The 19,682-nt window shown below is 34.5% G+C and overlaps 1 long non-coding RNA gene across 1 annotated transcript in view, besides 1 other annotated feature; it reads left to right on the top strand.

Moving 5' to 3' along the window:
* LOC105377871 (uncharacterized) overlaps positions 1–19,682 on the top strand; it is a 105,003-nt gene that overhangs the window by 80,531 nt on the left and 4,790 nt on the right. The gene's annotated exons all lie outside the window — the stretch shown is intronic.
* Positions 17,150–18,349: an enhancer, noted in NCBI's record as "P300/CBP strongly-dependent group 1 enhancer chr6:82161082-82162281 (GRCh37/hg19 assembly coordinates)". NCBI's record gives its function as "activates an origin of replication core promoter dependent on BRD2, BRD4, P300/CBP, MED14 and CDK7 cofactors, with strong dependence on P300/CBP, by STARR-seq in HCT116 cells {active_cell/tissue: HCT116}" and the evidence as "EXISTENCE:reporter gene assay evidence [ECO:0000049][PMID:35650434]".

Genomic DNA, 19,682 nt, shown 5'->3' with positions numbered 1-19,682 from the left:
TTTGGTGAATCTGACAATTATGTGGCTTGGAGTTGCTCTTCTCGAGGAGTATCTTTGTGGCATTCTCTGTATTTCCTGAATCTGAATGTTGGCCTGCCTTGCTAGATTGGGAAAGTTCTCCTGGATAATATCGTACAGAGTGTTTTGCAACTTGGTTCCATTCTCCCCATCACTTTCAGGTACACCAATCAGAGGCAGATTTGGTCTTTTCACATAGTGCCATATTTCTTGGAGGCTTTGTTCGTTTCTTTTTATTCTTTTTTCTCTAAACTTCCCTTCTCGCTTCATTTCATTCATTTCATCTTCCATCACTTTTACCCTTTCTTCCAGTTGATCGCATCGGCTCCTGAGGCTTCTGCATTCTTCACGTGGTTCTCAAGCCTTGGCTTTCAGCTCCATCAGCTCCTTTAAGCACTTCTCTGTATTCGTTATTCTAGTTATACATTCGTCTAAATTTTTTTCAGTTTTCAACTTCTTTGCCTTTGGTTTGAATTTCCTCCTGTAGCTCGGAGTAGTTAGATCATCTGAAGCCTTCTTCTCTCAACTCGTCAAAGTCATTCTCTGTCCAGCTTTGTTCCATTGCTGGTGAGGAACTGCTTTCCTTTGGAGGTGGAGAGGCACTCTGCTTTTTAGAGTTGCCAGTTTTTCTGCTCTGATTTTTCCCCATCTTTGTGGTTTTATCTACTTTTGGTCTTTGATGATGGTGATGTACAGATGGGTTTTTGGTGTGGATGTCCTTTCTGTTTGTTAGTTTTTCTTCTAACAGACAGGACCCTTAGCTGCAGGTCTGTTGGAATTTGCTAGAGGTCCACTCCAGACCCTGTTTGTCTGTGTATCAGCAGCAGTGTCTGCAGAACCGCAGATTTATTTTTCAGTCTTTCACACAATTTTAACTTATCCTTGACATTTTAATATATATTTTTGGGATTTTTCAAGTTGTGATTGAAAACAGTCTAAATAGAGCTATAGAATCTGTGATTTAAACATATTTCCTAAAATAAACTTAAATAACCCAACTTGAAATTTTATATATATGATATATATTATATGTAACATATATGATATATATTATATGTAACATATATGATATATATTATATGTAACATATATGATATATAGTATATGTAACATATATGATATATATTATATGTAACATATATGATATATATTATATGTAACATATATGATATATATTATATGTAACATATATGATATATATTACATGTAACACATGATATGTTATATTATATGTAACATATATGATATGTTATATTATATGTAACATATATGATATATATTATATGTAACATATATGATATATATTATATGTAACATATATGATATATATTATATGTAACATATATGATATGTTATATTATATGTAACATATATGATATGTTATATTATATGTAACATATATGATATGTTATATTATATGTAACATATATGATATGTTATATTATATGTAACATATATGTTATGTTATATATATTTATATAGCATATATGATATATTATATATCATATATATTATATATCATATATATTATATATATTATATATCATATATTATATATTATATATCATATATTATATATCATATATTATATATTATATATCATATATATTATATATGATATATCATATATAGAACATATATAATAAATTATAATATGTTATATATATAACATATATAATATATAGAACATACATAATATATAGAACATATATAATATAACATATATAATATAACATATATAATATAACATATATAATATATATATTAAATATAATATATGTTATATATAATATATGTTATGTTATATATAACATATATATATTATATATGTTTTATATATATATGTTCAAATAGCAAAAAATAATCTGAGATGAGGAAGTTTGCTTATTCTTTTTTAAAATGTACATTGATGTGATAATAAAAGTATTTTTAAAGTATATGGATGGTATGAAAAATCATGATAGAGTGACCACCAATACCCACATTAATAAAGAGACTATTACCACTAAATTAAAACTTGATGTGTTTCCTTCTACAGTTACGTCTTGTTGTTTGTTTTTTTTTCCTAAGAAGTAGTTGCCATCTGGATTTTGTATTTTTCATTCCTTGTCTCCATGTAGTTTTACTAAATTATTTGTGAAGGTGAACAATATCTTATGCTATGTGTCTTGCTTATCTTTAGTCAATATTATGCCTGTGTTATTATGTGTATAAACATTCATTTATTACTATTTATTTCTGTTTAATACACTTTATGATTTAGAGCAGTTTTAGATTTATGGCAAAGTTGAGGAAGGTACAGATATTTTTCATATACTGCTTTCCACTACACATGCATATCCTCCTTGCTTATCACTCTTTGCCACAGTGGTACATTTTAATTGTTTTATAGTATTTCAGTATATGACTATATGACAATTATTTATATATCATACTGATAATGATTATTAGCATTTGCAGTTTTGGTTTGTTCTGTTTATTCTCCAGTTACAGCATTGCTATAAATATTTTTGTACAACTATCTTACTATACATGCTTGTCTTCTAGGGGTTTTGGTTTTAGATGACAAGTGTGTCTTTGCCTAGCTCACTGGGTGCCCAAGACTGACTAATCTTAGCATGATGTCTCTCACTTTTTATCTAATTATAAAGAAATGTTGAAATTTCTCTTTACCATTTTTAAAAGTCCCACACCTTCTATGCAATCCACTATAGTACTTCTTGGGTAGGCAGGAGGTTTCCAGTACTATGGGGGCTGGAGATGGAGGAAGTGAATGACAACTTTACACCATCATGTAACTTAACATCTTATTAGGAATTCCTATCTCTCACTAAAAGACAGACCTGAAATTATAGAAAAAAATAGTAAAACTGAAAAAAGCTAACGGCCTAAACTCCTAATTATTAGGTAAGTTATTTAATAAAATAATTAAAACCTGTGGGCTCAAAATGACTACAGATAAAACTTCTGAAAATTCTATGTCCATGTAGACAACAAGGTGATGTAAAATAAAATGTCATTTTTATAGTCTTCTTTTCCCTGTATTTTAACTTTAAAAGTAAATATCACTGATTAACCTGTAACTTTTGCATTTAATCCACAAAATTTTTACTGAACGAAAAAGTAATTTACAAGAACATTGAATAAAAAAGTCATATTGATAATAATGTTTGCAAATCCATTTTTTTCTTTAATTGATCTTCTAAATGCTAAGAGAGATTTTCATCAAGATTGCTTGATTATCCATTTTTCCCTCATAATTAAAAATTTAAAAATTGGGAGTCTTCTTTTCTTGGTTTGATTGTAAATTTAATTTGAGGTCTGATAATACTGCCATAGTTCCAATGCCAAGCAAATTTTTCAAATGTTTCACTGCATTTCAGCATATATTTGCTATATGATTGCCAGATTCAGCAGCACAACACAAAACAAAAACAAAAACAAAACAAGATGCCCATATTAAATTTGAATATCAGATAAGCAATAAATAATGTTTAAATGAAAGTATGTCCAAAATTATTTGTTCTTTATCTGAAAATCAAATTTAACTGGAAATCTTGAATTTTATTGGTAAATCCTCTAGTGAAATGAAGTTGAATGGAGGGGAAAAAAAAGTGTAGCTTTGGGAAGGAAATAGTGGCCACCAGAGGGCAAGCTAAAAAGATGATTGTCTGTGGGTGGAAAATTGAAGGTTGTAGGGCATCTGGGTTAGATTTGACAGAACAGGGGAAAATACCTGACAGGATTAAAATGCTTATGCTGTCAACTTGATACTTTTTCTTGGAAATTTGGGACAATGTATGTCACAAACATATACCCCTCTAACTGTAGTCTTAGACTTTCTGGTCAGCATAGCATAGTCCCAGTCTGTCTGAAAAATTCAGATAGAATAGAAAGTCATATACTTATTGAGTTTGGACCAAATGGATTTTACAGTTCTAGAACTCTAAAATAAGAGAGAATCACCATTATAAATAGATAAGAAGAGGACCATGTATTTTGCCTATGTTTATAGGCAGGAGTTACTACTTTTTTCAAAATTATGTTTTACCCTTCCTTCTATTCCCCTTCTTTCTCTTTGGGCTATAACTGGTGCCTGAAATCCTATTAACTTGGCTTAAATTTTTGATCATTATTAAAATGTCAGTACCTTAAGGTGCTCGAATTTGTTCAAGGCAATGGTGAGCCAAGTTGGTGGGTTATTACAGTGAAATTCAACCCTCGCTACAGGTTTGAATTCTCTGGCCACTATTTATAAAAATGACTATGTCCTGAATCCATGTTCAGAGACTTAATTCAGTTTTTCTAAATAGTGCCAAACATCAAATATTTTTTTAAAGTTCAGCAGGTAATTTTTATACGTAGTCAGGATTGAGTATTAGTTTGTCACAGCATTGGATGGAGTACTTGTGGGCATCAGAGTAAAAGCATCAGACTAAAATTCTTTGGTGGTGTCAAAAGACTGAGTATGATTGAGCTAAGCAGTTCTCCAGACAAATACACACAAAAAAACAAGTTTGGTTGAAGTTTTTGGTATCCCAACAGGGAGATCCCTAGTGTTTTCTGCTCTAGAAAGGATTTATCTTAATTAAAGTTGTTCTTTGCCTTGGATAGATCTTTACCACACCTGGTAGCACACTCTTGAGAGGATAAATCCTTCGTTCCATTCCAAATGTCTTTAGAAAGATCCGTTTTCTAATGAGCCAGCTGACAACTCATCCATTCACATATTTTTGCGTACAACTTTCACATGGATTTAAGACTCAAAGTGGACGTTGTCAGTTTATTCTCTATAAGTTTAATTTCCTAGGGAACATGTGTTCTATTTTATTGAATGAATCCTTAGTGGATAAGGAGAAGGATTTTGAGGCGATTTTAACACGGATTAGTGGAGGGGAGGAGTGAAGGCTTTTACTTAAAAATTACAAGTAATTTGTCATGGTGTTAGGGAATTTGACTTGTTAGACCCTATCTCATGGAGAATCACATCATTTTATTATGTTTTTAAAAATACTAAACCAACCTGCATCTCTAGGATAAGTACAGCTTCATCATTATACATGATTTTATATATACATATGTGTGTGATATGTATTTTATATATACATATGTATACATATATATATATATATAGAGAGAGAGACAGAGCTATGTTGCTTTTTGGACAAATTAAAGAAGGTACTACTCTGCATATACATAAGGAGCAATGAGGACATGAAATTCATCATAAGATGTGGGAAATACACATATAAATCTTTATTAAAATTTTTTTTGATAAACTAAGGAATTTCAAGTTTAAACTAATGGGGATTAAATCTTGTAGTGTGCCCTGACACAAATATTAGAAAGGCATATGTGATCAGATACAACACATTATTTTGCTTAGTAAATTTTATCTTATTATAAAGGCAAAAGTATTAAATATATAAAATAAAAAATACAAAAATCTATAAAGAAATTAAATTTGCTCAAAATCACAAAATCTGTCATAATCACAGTAAACATTCTGCATCACATTTAGTCTATTTTTATCCATCTTAATGTAATTGGGGTATTCCTGTATAGTTTGTGTATAATTTCATAACATAGTTTTTCTTTGTATATTTTAGTGATTTTTCCATGAAATTTAAAACTCTGAAAATATACTGTTATATCAAATATTATCCCTTCAAATTAGCTCTGTTGTTAGGCATTTAGAATATTTCTAGGTTTTCACTATTATAAATGACTGTGTGTTGAATACCTCTATATCAGTATTACCTTTTATATAACTTTTGAAAGAAACCTGACCACATTTTAATCATGAGACCATATTTATGTATTTGCTACTGAAAGTATGGTCTGTAGAAAATAGCTACAGCATTCCTTGGAAGCCAGTAAGGAATATGGACTCTATGATTTCTTTCACCAGTGTTTTATAGTTTTACTTGCAGAGATTTTTCACCTCCTTGGCTAAATATATTCCTAAGTATTTTATTTTATTTTTTTGTAGCTTTTGTAAAAGGGATTGAATTCTTAATTTGATTCTCAGCTCGGTCATTGTTGGTATATAACAGTGCTACTAATTTGTGTACACTATTTTGTATGCTGAAACTTTACTGAATTCATTTATCAGATCTGGGAGCTTCCTGGATGAGTCTTTAGGGTTTTCTAGGTATATGATCATATTGGCTAGAAGCAACAGTTTAACTTTCTCCTTTCTGATTTGCATGCCCTGTATTTTTTGCTTCTCTCTGATTGCTCTGGCTAGGACTTCTAGTACTGTGTTGAATAGAAGTGGTGAAAGTGGACATCCTTGGCTTGTTCCAATTATCAGGGGGAATGCTTTCACCTTTTTCCAGTTCAGTTTGATGTTGGCTCTGGGTTTGTCTTAGATGGCTTTTATTACTTTGAGGTATGTCCCTTCTATGCCAATTTTTCTGAGGGTTATCGTAAATGGGTGCTGGATTTTATGAAATGCTTTTTCTGCATCTGTTGAGATGATCATGCAATTTTTGTTTTTAATTCTGTTTATATGATGTATCACATTTATTAATTTGTGTATGTTAAACCATCCCTATATTCCTGGTATGAAACTCACTTGATAATGATGTATTATCTTTTGGATATGCTGTTGGATTTGGTTAGCTAGTACTTTGTTGAGGATTTTTGTATCTATGGTCATCAGGGATATTGGTCTGTAGTTTTCTTTTTTTGTTATGTCCTTTCCTGGTTTTGGTATTAGGGTGATACTGGCTTCATAGAATGATTTAGAGAGGATTTCCTTTCTCTATCTTTTGGAATAATTTCAGTAGGAAGTATACCAATTCTTCTTTAAATGTCTGATAGAATTCAGCTGTGAATCCATCTGGTCCTGGACTTTTTTTGTTGGCAATTTTTTTATTATTATTTCAATCTTGCTACTTGTTATTAGCCAGTAAAGAGTTTCCAATTTTTCCTGATTTAATCTATAAGGTTATATATTACCAAAAATTTATCCAACTCCTCTAGATTTTCTAGTTTGTGTGTATAAAGATGTTCATAGTAGCCTTGAATGATCTTTTGTATTTCTGTGGTATTGGTTATAATATCTCTTGTTTCATTTTTAATTGAGTTTATTTGGATCTTCTCTCTTCTTTTCTTGGTTAATCTCACTAATGGTCTATCAATCTTCTTTATCTTTTCAAACAACGCACTTTTTGTTTCATTTATCTTTTTTTTTGTTTGTTTCCATTTCATTTAGTTCTGCTCTGATCTTTGTTATTTCTTCTTTTCTGCTGGGTTTGGGTTTGGTTTGTTCTTGTTTCTCCAGTTCCTTGAGGTGTGACCTAAGATGTCTATTTGTGCTCTTTCAGACTTTTTGATGTAGGCATTTAAAGCTATGAACTTTCCTCTTAGCACCACTTTTGCTGTATCCCATCCCATGTTCATGGATGGGTAGAATCAATATTGTGAAAATGACCATACTGCCAAAAGCAATATACAGATTCAATGCAGTCCTCACCAAAATACCATCATCATTCTTCGCAAAAACAGAAAAAAAATAAAAAAATTCATACAGAACCAAAATAGAGCCTACATAGCCAAAGCAATACTAAGCAAAAAGAACAAATATGGAGGCATCACATTACATGACTTCAAACTATACTACAAGGCTATAGTTACCAAAACAGCATGGTACTGAAATAAAAATAAGCATGTAATCCAATGGAACAGAATAGAGAAACCATATATAGAGCCAAATACTTATAGCCAACTGATCTTTCACAAAGCATACAAAAATATAAAGTGAGGAAAGGACACCCTATTCAACAAATGGTGTTTTAATAATTGACAAGCTACATGTAGAAGAATGAAACTGGATTTGCATCTCTCACCTTGTACAAAAATCAACTCAAGGTGGATCAAAGACTTAAATCTATGACCTGAAACCATCCAAACTGTAGAAGATAACATTGGAAAACCTCTTCTAATCATTATCTTAGGCAAATAATTCGTAACCAAGAAACTAGAAGCAAATGCAACAAAAACAATGATGAAGAGATGGACCTAATGAAACTAAAAAGCTTAAGCACAGCAAAAGAAATAATCATCAAAGTAAACAGACAACCCACAGATTGGGAGTAAATATTCACAAAGTATGCATCTGAAAAAGGACTAATATCCAGAATCTACAAGGAACTCAAACAAATCAGCAAAAAAGAAAACAAATAATTCCATCAAAAAGTGGGCAAAGGATGTGAATAGACAGCTCTTAAAAGATGTACAAATGGCCAACAAACGTATGAAAAAAAATGCCTAACATCACTAATTATCAGGGAAATGCAAATTAAAGCCACAATGCAATACCAGCTTATTCCTACAAGAATGGCCACAATTAAAAAATTCTTTTAAAAAAGATATTGGCATGGATGTAGTGAAACGGAAACACTTTTATACAGCTGGTGGGAATGTAAACTAGTATAACCACTATGGATAACAGTGTGGAGATTCCTTAAAGAACTAAAAGAACTACCATTTGATCAGCAATCCCACTACTGGGTAACTACCTAAAGGAAAAAAAGTTATACAAGAAAGACACTTGCACACTCATGTTTGTAGCAGCACAGTTCACAATTAAAAAATTATAGAATCAACCTAAATGCCTATCAACCGATGAGTGAATAAGGAATTTGTGATATATATATAATATATGTATACCATGGAATACTACTCAACCATAAAAAGGAATGAAATCACAGCATTTGCAACACCGTGCATGGAGTTGAAGACTATTATTCTAAGTGAAGTAACTTAGGAATTAAAAACCAAATACTGTATACTCTTACTTATAAATGGGAGCTCAGTTAATGAGGATGCAAATCATAAGAATGATATAATGGACTTTGGGGACTTGCAGGGCAGGGTGGAATGAGGGGATGAGAGATAAAAGGGTACACATTGGTTACAGTGTACACTGCTCAGGTGACATGTGCACCTAAATCTCAGATATCACCACTAATGAACTTATCTATGTAACCAAAAACCACCTGTTCCCCAAAAACTTTTGAAATGAAATTTTAGAAATAGTTTGTGATAAAGAATCTCAGGCCCAGTGCAGACCCACTGAATCAGAATCTATATTTTAATAAGATGGCCCAGTGATTCCTGTGCATATTCAAGTTGGAGATCCATCTTACAATCTATTACGTTCAGGCAAGCATGATTGGCTCGCCAAGGGGACTCTCAGTTTCCTGATTAGTTGTCAGGAAGCCACTCCCAGCCACACTTCTAGTCCTACTTCAGCTTTACATTCTAGCTCTTTGTAAACAAGTATTTCTCAATTTTGTTTATACATTAAAATTACCTGGAAAGTTAAAAAAAAAAACACACTGAGGTTTGGGCTCACATTCAGACCTTTTAAATCACAATCTTTTGAGAAAGGGAAACTTTTTAAAAAGCTCCCCAGGTGATTCTAATGATCAGCCAAGGTTGATAATCATTGTTGTAGATGAACAAAGTGAAGAAAATAGATGACAAATGATTCTTTCTTGTCAAGCTGCTAAAATCTGTAACATTCAATGCCATCAGAACAAAATTTGTGGAGCTGCACAGAAAGGAAGTGAAGGGAGGGAATGTGGTTTATCTGGTGAGTGTTTGGAGATTGAAGGAATTACTTTAACTGAATTTCCCATAAAGCTATCATATTCCAAAGGACTCAAGGCCTAGTTTAAAAGCCCAAACAATCAAATGATTGCATATGTGCTTTGTTTTATAAGTGAAAGGCAATCAGGTTGAAGGGACTGTTGCCATTTAAGGCAGCTTTTCCGAAGTAGGTTGAGTGTAAGAAATACAATCGCATGAATGTTGTCTTTTTTCTGGAAATAACTTCTACATAACTAATTTTACTTGAAATGATTGACATTTCAAGGTCTTTAGTATTTATCAGATTATTTGGAAGCCAAAATATATCTTGGTAATTCCAATTTAATTACACATTATGAAATAAAGCAATTGGATGCATCATTGTGTCTCAAGCCATGAAATTTTCAACACCATTGTTTTCTTTTTAATAGGATTTGAAACTTCGGTGTTGGCAATTCCCTCAATTTATGTTTTCTTTGGCCTCTGCTCACATTAAGGCTGTGCAAAATACTTAAAGTGTTGTCATGTTCCTTTTAATAGAAAAATATGTTTGCTTTTTAGCTATAGCAAGATTGAGAAGAATTTAATGTATTAATCTCAATACTATTATCAATATGATATCGTTTAATTTTACTCACAATTATCAATACCTTATTTTATTTACTTAATTACTCAATTGCAAACTGTAATCCACAAACTAATCTCATGCTTGAATAGCATTTGTTGACTTTTTTTTTTCAAATAACAAAATATATATTCAACCTGTGACCTTCCTCTTTTCCATAGTTTCATACATTTAGGATATCTTTATTAACAAACTATGTTGATAGTATACATTTCTTCTTGGATTATCATAAAAATGAGTATCTTACCTTCCACCTCCCTTTATTTTAGGTTCTAGATCCATGAAATGCTATATTTAGTCTTTTTTCAAGTAACTAATTGAACCTTTTAAAAACTTGCAAGGAAATTCAAAAATTATTACTAATTAAAGAGCCCCTAATGTAGATTGGATGTATGTACTTTCTTCACAAGGATGAGCCTTATAAATCACTAATAAGATTTTAATGCAGAATATTCTTCTGTTCCACCCCCCAGAGGTCTGTGGTCAATGATAAAAACAACAATAATATTTTCCACTTTTTTTTTTTTTTTTGAGACGGAGTCTCGCTCTGTCTCCCAGGCTGGAGTGCAGTGGCGTGATCTCTGCTTACTGCAAGCTCCGCCTCCGGGGTTCACACCATTCTCCTGCCTCAGCCTCCCGAGTAGCTGGGACTACAGGCACCCGCCACCACGCCCAGCTAATTTTTTGTATTTTTAGTAGAGACGGGGTTTCACTGTGTTAGCCAGGATGGTCTCGATCTCCTGACCTCATGATCTTCCCGCCTCAGCCTCCCAAAGTGCCAGGATTACAGGCGTGAGCCACCACGCCTGGCCTCCACTTTTTTTTTTTTAAGTCCTTGTTTTCAAATAACTTTTTGATTTGGGCCAATCTTTGCAAAAGTTTTATATATATATATATGTACACACACACACATATATATATACACCAGTGTTAAATCAAATGAAGAGTTTTACTTTCACTTCCTAAAGGGCCTTCATAAACCACTCTGATTCTCTTTAAAATCAGCAAGGAATGCAATTAACTACTTTGACACTGTTTTTTTTTGCCCTAATCTGAGACTTTGTCAACCCAGCCTCACAAGGTGTTTTATTTTGTTCTCTAAAACTGTTGAGAAGAAGGTATTATCCTTCTTCTTCATTATAAATAAATGATAAGTAAACAAATAATTGTTTAGAAGTGTGCAGAGAAATGTCATTTTTACCTTCTTTCTGAAGCCCTCTCTTTAAATTTCTATCAGGTTCTACAAAACCCCATGGAACTTAATTGAGTACTGTGTTGTTCAGGTTTTATTCTTTTAAATGTGTTATTTGTTCTTTCATAGGTTTTAGTCCATTTCAGCTGTTATAACAAAATACCATAAACTTGGTGGCTTATAAACAACAGACATTTATTTTTTATAGCTCTGGAGCCTGGGAAGTCCAAGATCAAGGCACAGGCAAAATTGGTGTTTGGTGAGACTTCACTTTCTGCTTCAAACAAGACATCTTATCATTGTATCCTCACATGACCAAAGAGGAGAACAAGCTCCTTCGAGCCTCTTTTATAAGGGCAGTAATCCCACTCTTGAGGGCTCTGCCCTCATGATTTAATCACCCCCAAAGGCCCCACCTTCTAATTCCATCACCTTGGGAATTAGGATTTCAACATATGAATTTTGAGGGAACACACACATTCAGACCATAGGAAGGTCAAGTGCCAACCTGTCTTCTTTGTTTATTAACAACATTTTAGGAAGATAGGGAAAGGTCAAAGGATCCTCTTGGATTACCAGAAATTTTCTGTAGATTTGCCAGGATTAGAATCCATAGCTCTTTCCAAGAAAAGATAATCTTTGTTTTGAGCAATTGTAAAAATGTTCTTGACCTTTATCTTTATAAGCAATACTATGGGCATTAAAAAATTCTTCTAAATTGTGATAAAATTACAAAATAAATTCTGTGAGATGGCAAAAATAATTAGATAATCCAACTGAACCAATATTATCCAAGACAAACAGTTGTGATCAGAATAATTTTAGCCTTGACTAAGAAAACGGAGCCATTTTAAAAGAAGAATTTCATGGGTTTCTAAGGCAATTTTGGTTCATAACTTTATTTTAGTGAACAGTTCTATGCTTTAAAAGCAAACAGCTGTACAAACTAAAGTTGAAGATCTGTATATTTCCATGTCTAAATACTTGATTCCTTTCTCTATTTCTTTATTTTAATGCTAGTGTTTAATCTACTGCATCCCTTTGTTTGTTACAAAGTTAGCCTCGTGAGACCAGTGGAATAAACATCAAAATGTGTTTTTCATTTTCCCCCAACTACGATTTTTATTGTTTTCCTCCCTACATTTTAATTTTATTCTTAGTCTTCACAAAAAAAGGAACAATAATACCAGATGGCATAAGTCTGATGCCATTCTCTGCTTCTTTATGTAAAGTCAGGTGGTTGGAAATGTAAGTCATTCATGCTGGAGATGACATGGAGCTCCACAGATAGGGAAGCCACAGGCAAGTTTATAAAGTAGGTGAATTAGTCTTTGATTTTCTGCTGCTTTTGATAATGGCAGCTCCTTCTTTTGGAGTCATAGGAGTTGTAAACAAGCTTTACAGGAGTTCTCCTATGGTATTCCTTTAAGGTGTTAACTGATAATTAGGATGGTAGCTACTATTAAGGGTTGGTTATTAATGGAGTTCATTTAGAATCCATTGTCTATAGATGGCTGGATGGGAGCCTAAATCACTGGGAGCAGACAAGGCCACACTCATACAGTGAACACTTAGAGAGGATGGAGTTAACTTGCATTCCCAATTATGAAATACAGTGTATTTTCCTTCATGGAGCCTTGCCACAGTAAAGCAATCTATGAATGAAAACTTCCTCCAACAAATGAAACATGCTAGGAATTTTGAGTTTCCTAAGGTTTAGGGGATTTTTCGTAGAGATGGAATAACTATTCGACCCTGTAATTCACTGCCTAGAGAGTGGAATGTGGAAGTTTTGGTGTTAAAAACTAGACAAATGTACAGATCAGAAAAACTAATATTTTGAATTTGGGTTATTAATATTACATATACATAATAAATTATCTTGTTGCTTGTTGTACCAATAGTAGCCAATTTTACCCTAATTATAATTTGTATTACTGCAATCTAAACCATGTATTATTACAATCTAATATTTTTGAACCTATTCTCATATTTGTCTGAAGTTGAGGTGTTAAAATGTTATTTTTAACTTTTAATATTGAAAAATTATTAAGGATAAAATAGCATTAGTGTAGGATAATAAAAATTCTTGGTTAGCTCCACTATGATATCAAAATATAACCATATCAGCTTAGATTATTGTCTGTTATGGTCTTACAGATGTTTAGAAATGGAACCAATCTTACAGACAAATGAGCTACAGACCTAATCTGGAAGTGTTATTCAGAACAATCCCTGCTGCAATGGCTGCTATGAGAAAAGCTACAGATCTAGTGTAAAATATGAGGGCAAAGCAGAATCTCAGAATGCAGCCCTGGAATTAAGCCAGAAGCACGCTTTAATCAAGCCAGGAAAAAGCACCTAAAAACCCAGTCATGAACAGGGCTAGTCCAGAGTGTGCAATGAAAAGAGAGCATCAAATCTAAGAGGGACAGAGATATGTGTACATCCTGCCTTTCTTGGACCTAGAAGGGGATTTGGTTGCCAAAGGACCAAAAGGGCCCCATGAGGCAGATTTACTTATGCTTTGGCTACAGAGCATGATCTCTACACAGTGGGTAATAGGGAGGCTGTATAGCTGGGCTGTGACTTCAAGTGACTCTGAATGACTTAATAATTCAAGTCTTTCTGTCCTAGTAGCAGTCTCCTGTGCTGTTTGTGGCCACATTGTGTGCTAGGTAGTAAGTGTTTTAGTGAGAAACAGAATAGGAAATATATGGTAACGAGAGGAAGACAGTACAATGTGCTACTTACAAAGATTGGAGACAGACTTTCCAGGTTCAAATCTTGACACCATTCATTGGTTAATTTTGTGATTTGGGGACAAATCACTTTGCCTATATGAAGCTTGGATTTTCTCATCTGTGTTATGAAGGTATTAACAGCACCAAACTTACAAGGTTGTTATGAGAATGAAATAAGCATGTCCATGTGTGAGCATTTAACTTGCAGCACCATGTGTGTCAAACCCTCATTGTTATTAAAGAAAGGCTTCTGGAATTGTCAGATGAAAAAAATCACTCTAGTAAATAGAAATGTTGTAATCTACCACTTCTTTTTTTTCTTCATACACATCTTCCATAATAAAAGAAAAGGGCAAAGAAGTAAACAGGAGTAGTTAGATTGCTAAAGCAATTATTCTCAAGCACAAAGTTAGTATGTCTGAATAAATGGCTTCTGAAAAGAAGAGACTAAAATGCTACTTTAAGGTAGGAGTAACAATTGGCAATTTTGTGTTGCCACATAAGCAGCTCATAATTATATGACTAATCTGAGAGAGACAAGATGAAAAATGTGAACGGTGTAAGAATATGTGACTAGTTGGAGGGCCACTTTTCTAAAGAGATAAAACCGTTTGTATCTGCTACGGGAATAAGTATAATAATAAGGATATTGGGCACAGAGCTTGGTGCATTTTAGTTGCTCAGCCAATGTTAGGTCCATGCAGTCCCCCACAAAATGGTCTCTAGGGCCTTCCAACATGAGCAGCCAGAGGCTGTTTCTGACCATTGACCTGCCCAAGACTCAGTGTGCCCAAGAGAAGCTCAGGGTCATAAGAGGTAACATTTCTAGGGATGTGCCACAGCATTATTTTCTCCCTTTCCAAACATCCCATTTAGATGGTAAAAGGTAGAAAAATATTAATAGCATCTGACCAGGTTGTCCCAGCAGTTAAATTGGCATGCATTTTTCTTTTTAGAATGATCAGAAGAGTCCTTTAGTACCGATGAGAAATTATGATGAATTATGTAACAACATAACAGAAAAAAACATTTACCAGAATGCTCCTCAGGTTCAGTGTACAAGAAGGGTTTAAAGCAGTGGTGTCCAATCTTTTGGCTTCCCTCACCCACATTGGAAGAACAATTGTCTTGGGCCACACATAAAATACACTAACACTAACGATAGCTGATAAGCCAAAAAAAAAAAAAAAAAAAAAAAGATTGCAAAAAGACATTGTGGGAAAAAAATGAAGAATGTTTACAAATTTGTGTTGGGTCACATTCAAAGGCATTCTGGGCCACATGCAGCCCACTGGCTGTGGGTTGGACAAGCTTGGTTTAAAGAATAGTGAGACTACTGCCACATTTCTCATACATGTTCCAATAGGAGTAGATTGAACTGTCTTCTAGAGGTAGCAGAGTAATTAAGTAATTAAGTTCATAGTAGTTATGAACTGTCTTCAAGAGGTAGAAGAATAATTAAGTGCAAGGCCTTTACTGCAGTGAGGAGAATCAGGAATAATTAAGAGGTAGAATTGCTCAACCCAATGGATGACCACAATGTGGGGAAAACATAGAGTAGGGCAGCAGGTGTCATTGCAAAAGGTGGAGAAGGTGGCAGAACTGACATGTCTGAGGATATGTGAGGAAGGAGGTAAAATTAATCTTAATCTGTTAATCTCTTTCTACTGCCAAACCATGAAAAATAACAATAAAAAGTATTTGGTTGAGTTCAGTCATTCAAAACTGTCTGCTATTGCCCAAAGATACTTGGTTCTTTCTCTGGAATGATCTATCCCTCTTTTCACACCTAGCACATTCCTACTCATTTTTGAGTCACATCCTTTAGGAAACTTCCATAAACTGCACTCCTAATGTATGTTTGGCTGCTCTCTCCTCTGTAATGCATTGTGTCTTGGTCAGGCATTGATGCAATGTTTGTCTCAATGTGTCCTCGATGTGTCTCAATGTGTCTCAATGTGTCCTTTTTTGTACCACCTCCCTTCACCAGCACAATACCTGGCATCAATGCAGGGCTCCACACGTAATTATTGAAATGATGAGGAATTACAAAAAATATTTTATGCTGTTTGTGAGATGCCCAACTGATTTAATTCACTAAATCTTCTTCAATTTGGGTTATACCAGTTGGCTTGGGTTTGTTATCTCTCTCCTTCGTTTTTCCCAGTATTTTGGAAGAACTGTTTTTTGGAGGGAGAGGAAGCTATCCCTTCCATTCTCTCTACCTTGTTTCATTCCTTCATCTCTTGCTCTCTTCCTTTCAACTTCTTTACTTTCCGTTCCTTTCTCTTTCCCTTCCTTCTTTCCTTCTTCAAAGAGTATATCAGTTTCCACAATGTGTCAGGCATTGTACTAAGCATAGAAAATAGAAGTGTGCCAGATTCCACCCTTGCCTACAAGAAGATAATATTTTAGTTAGAATGAAAAAAAAATCAAGCACACAAATTTGGGTTCTCTGCTGGGGACAGGCTAGAGTAAGCTGTTGGATCACATAAGGCAGATGCAGAGGGAATCCAGGGAAGACTTTGTAGAGGGGATGATGATTGAAGTTTTGAAGACAGTATAAAAGTCACCAGGCAACAAAAGGCAGATAAAGATAGGACAGCTAGAAGGAACACCACTTACAAAGGTAGAAGGGCATAAAAGAACATGTCTCATTCAGGGAAATAAAAAAATTACTGGTGTGACTGGAGTGAAAAGTACAAGTTGCCCATCGAGAGAGACGAAGAAGAGAAGTACAGGAGATACATTCTCAAAGACCTTTTGTACTAGTGAATCTACCGGCCCTTCATCCAAAATGTTGTAAGGAATTGCTTAAAGATTTTAGGCATGAGACAGACATAGTTAATATCTGAATGACAAAAGAGCACTTTGCCTGCTAGATGAATATGAAATGGAAAGGCAGGAGATTAGGAGTAGGGAGACCAGTTAGGAGATTCATTCCTATCCCCTCTGGCACCCCATAGCTGTGGGTATCTCTTCACGTTTCAGAGGTTGTAGTCATTGGGTAACTGAAGTTTTCTTATTCTCAGCCCTTTTAATGTCCTGTAATTCTCATGGAACAGAGGATAAGCTTCCTTAAATGTCATACTGTGACTTCATGCTAAGAACAAAATTCATTATTTTCTCCCACTCTCAGACTTCTCTGAGTTTGTAATTCTTCATGTAGTTCCGCAACATGCAGACTTTTGGGTGTACAAATTAATATCTTCATTAATTCACTTCCCTCTTCCTCTATGAAAGTCAGTCCAAATCTAACTGATTCTTTCATTAGACCCCTGCTCTTCCTCTAGTCTACAACTATTATCATGTTTCTACCCGGTGCGTCAAACTCATGACACTAGGCAGGATGTATCCAAATAAAACAGAGCACACATTTTGATTCCCAATTGCACTGCAACTTGATGGCTATAGCCACTTAGCTGGTTTCACATATCTTAGTCCTGTCCCTTCATTCAGTTCTACACAAAGGGTATGAGTCATCCTCTGTAAGCACTGTTTTGATCATCTCTCTCCCTCTCTGAACCCTGCAGGATCTCTGAGTTTCTGCTTACGTCAAATCAAAACTGATATGAGTCACTCGTTATCTAAGTGTCCTCCACTTTCATCATAGCCTGATTGTTCTCTCTGCTTAATTCAAGCTGGCTGGCTCCTTGTTCAGGCACACATATTCTGTCTCACTTCTCCAGGGTATCTGCAGAGACTGCTGCCCACCTGGCATGTTTCTGCTCCTCTCTGCTGTGCCAGTCTCCTTGCTGTTTGCTTTGGGGCCCAGCACAATCTTTGTCACTCCATGAGTGGCTTTTCACCTCTGCACATATTCGTCTCCATCATTTCAGTAAATCTCACCCTGCTACCTTGCTCTATCTTTACATGCGTCCACTGAGTACTTTTATTCATTCATGTATTCATTTGTTGATGTACGCATTTGTTTATTCATATACTCAACACATTCTTATAAGGTCTTTAATGAGACTGGCTGTGGCAATAAACTGGGGATACTGTTGTGAACATCTGAATAATGCCCTACCACAAAGGAACTTACTGTTTAGTGCAGGAGACAGATACCAAAACATTATCACAAGATTATGATAACCACGAAAGCAATGATTATTATAAAGAAAAGTAAAAAGCGCAAGGAGACTTTAACAGGAAACCTGGTTTAACTGAGCAGAGCTGGGAAGACTATTTTGAGAATGTAGCAAAAGATGAATAGAATTTAATCACTTGAAGAGTTAGGAAAAGAGTTTGCTGACTAGGCAAGAGCAAGTGCAAAGTCCCTGAAGTAGGAATGGGATTGGAATAGTCGACGGAGTGTGAGGGGTCTGAGTGACTGCAGTACAAGTGATGGAAGAACTTCATGCTCAGGTATGCCACTCACGATTTTATGGGTCATGATGTGCTTGTCACCTGCACACAAGCCCCATATAACAGACCATTCAAAGTCCCGCATCTTCAGTATCCAGATCAGTGTTTTCCAGTCTTCCTTGATGATAAGAATCCTCGGGACACTTGTGAAAATTCAGTTTCCCAGGGTCTTTTCTTGAAAACTGTGGTGCAGTGGGGCCATGGTAGGGCTCTGAAATGTGTAATTTTAAAAAATTGAGGTTTTTAAAATTTTATTTTATTTTTTTGGAATTTATTAATTTATACAATGTTTGGATAATTCTGAACTGATATGAAGAACAACAAATGGCAATCTATACAGTAGAATTCCCTAAACTCCCACATGTTTTGTTTTTGTTCAAACCAAACATTGCAGGCTGGTGTGCATATTAACCTGTCTTTGAATGTTGATTACATAAATCTTTGCTTACTCCCCAATTTGACCATAAAGCAATGAATCTCAACTCTGACTTATTGTCACAATTTCTACCCTTACTCCAAGACTCTCGGGTTATAGCCTGGGCATCTGTTGCTTTTAAAAGCTTCCAAGCTAACCTTGATCCTCAGCCAGGATTGCCAGTCACAACTCTTGAATGTTTGTGGAAGGAGGCAGTATGTCTTACTCTCTTTGCTGCGCTCTTAGTGCCTACTCTCTGTCCTTCAGCTAGAGTAGGTTCAGTAATTTGGTCAAGCAACTGACTCACCCTCCCTCCCTGCAGTATGATCATGTACTTGTAAAACACATGCAATCAATTATGTCCACCTCTGCACTCTGAGTAAGGACTGTCCCCGGAAACACAAGTGCAGAAACTGTCCTGTCACTGACAGAGCAATGTGCCATCCAGTGGCAGTGATCTGAAAACCCAGCTTCTGATTCTTTTATTGATATACATTTGTTTGAATGATATACATTTGTTCACATCTCAACAACCTTTTTTTAAAGGGTAAGTGTAATTTTAGTGTCTTTCCTAAAAATAGCAAGAGGTTAGTAGTTTATCAAGGAAACTTCAAAAAAAAGGTACAATGTGTTCACTATATTTTTTTAAAATACAAAAAGTTAGAAAAAGGGAGGAAGACATATATCATCTGTTAGTTCATGGCTGAAAATGACCCC

The sequence above is a fragment of the Homo sapiens genome, chromosome 6, assembly GCF_000001405.40.
Source record: "Homo sapiens chromosome 6, GRCh38.p14 Primary Assembly".
NCBI classification, from domain to species: Eukaryota; Metazoa; Chordata; class Mammalia; order Primates; family Hominidae; genus Homo; species Homo sapiens.
Note: the sequence above shows the minus strand (reverse complement) of the source record. Positions and strands in the feature narration are given on the sequence as shown.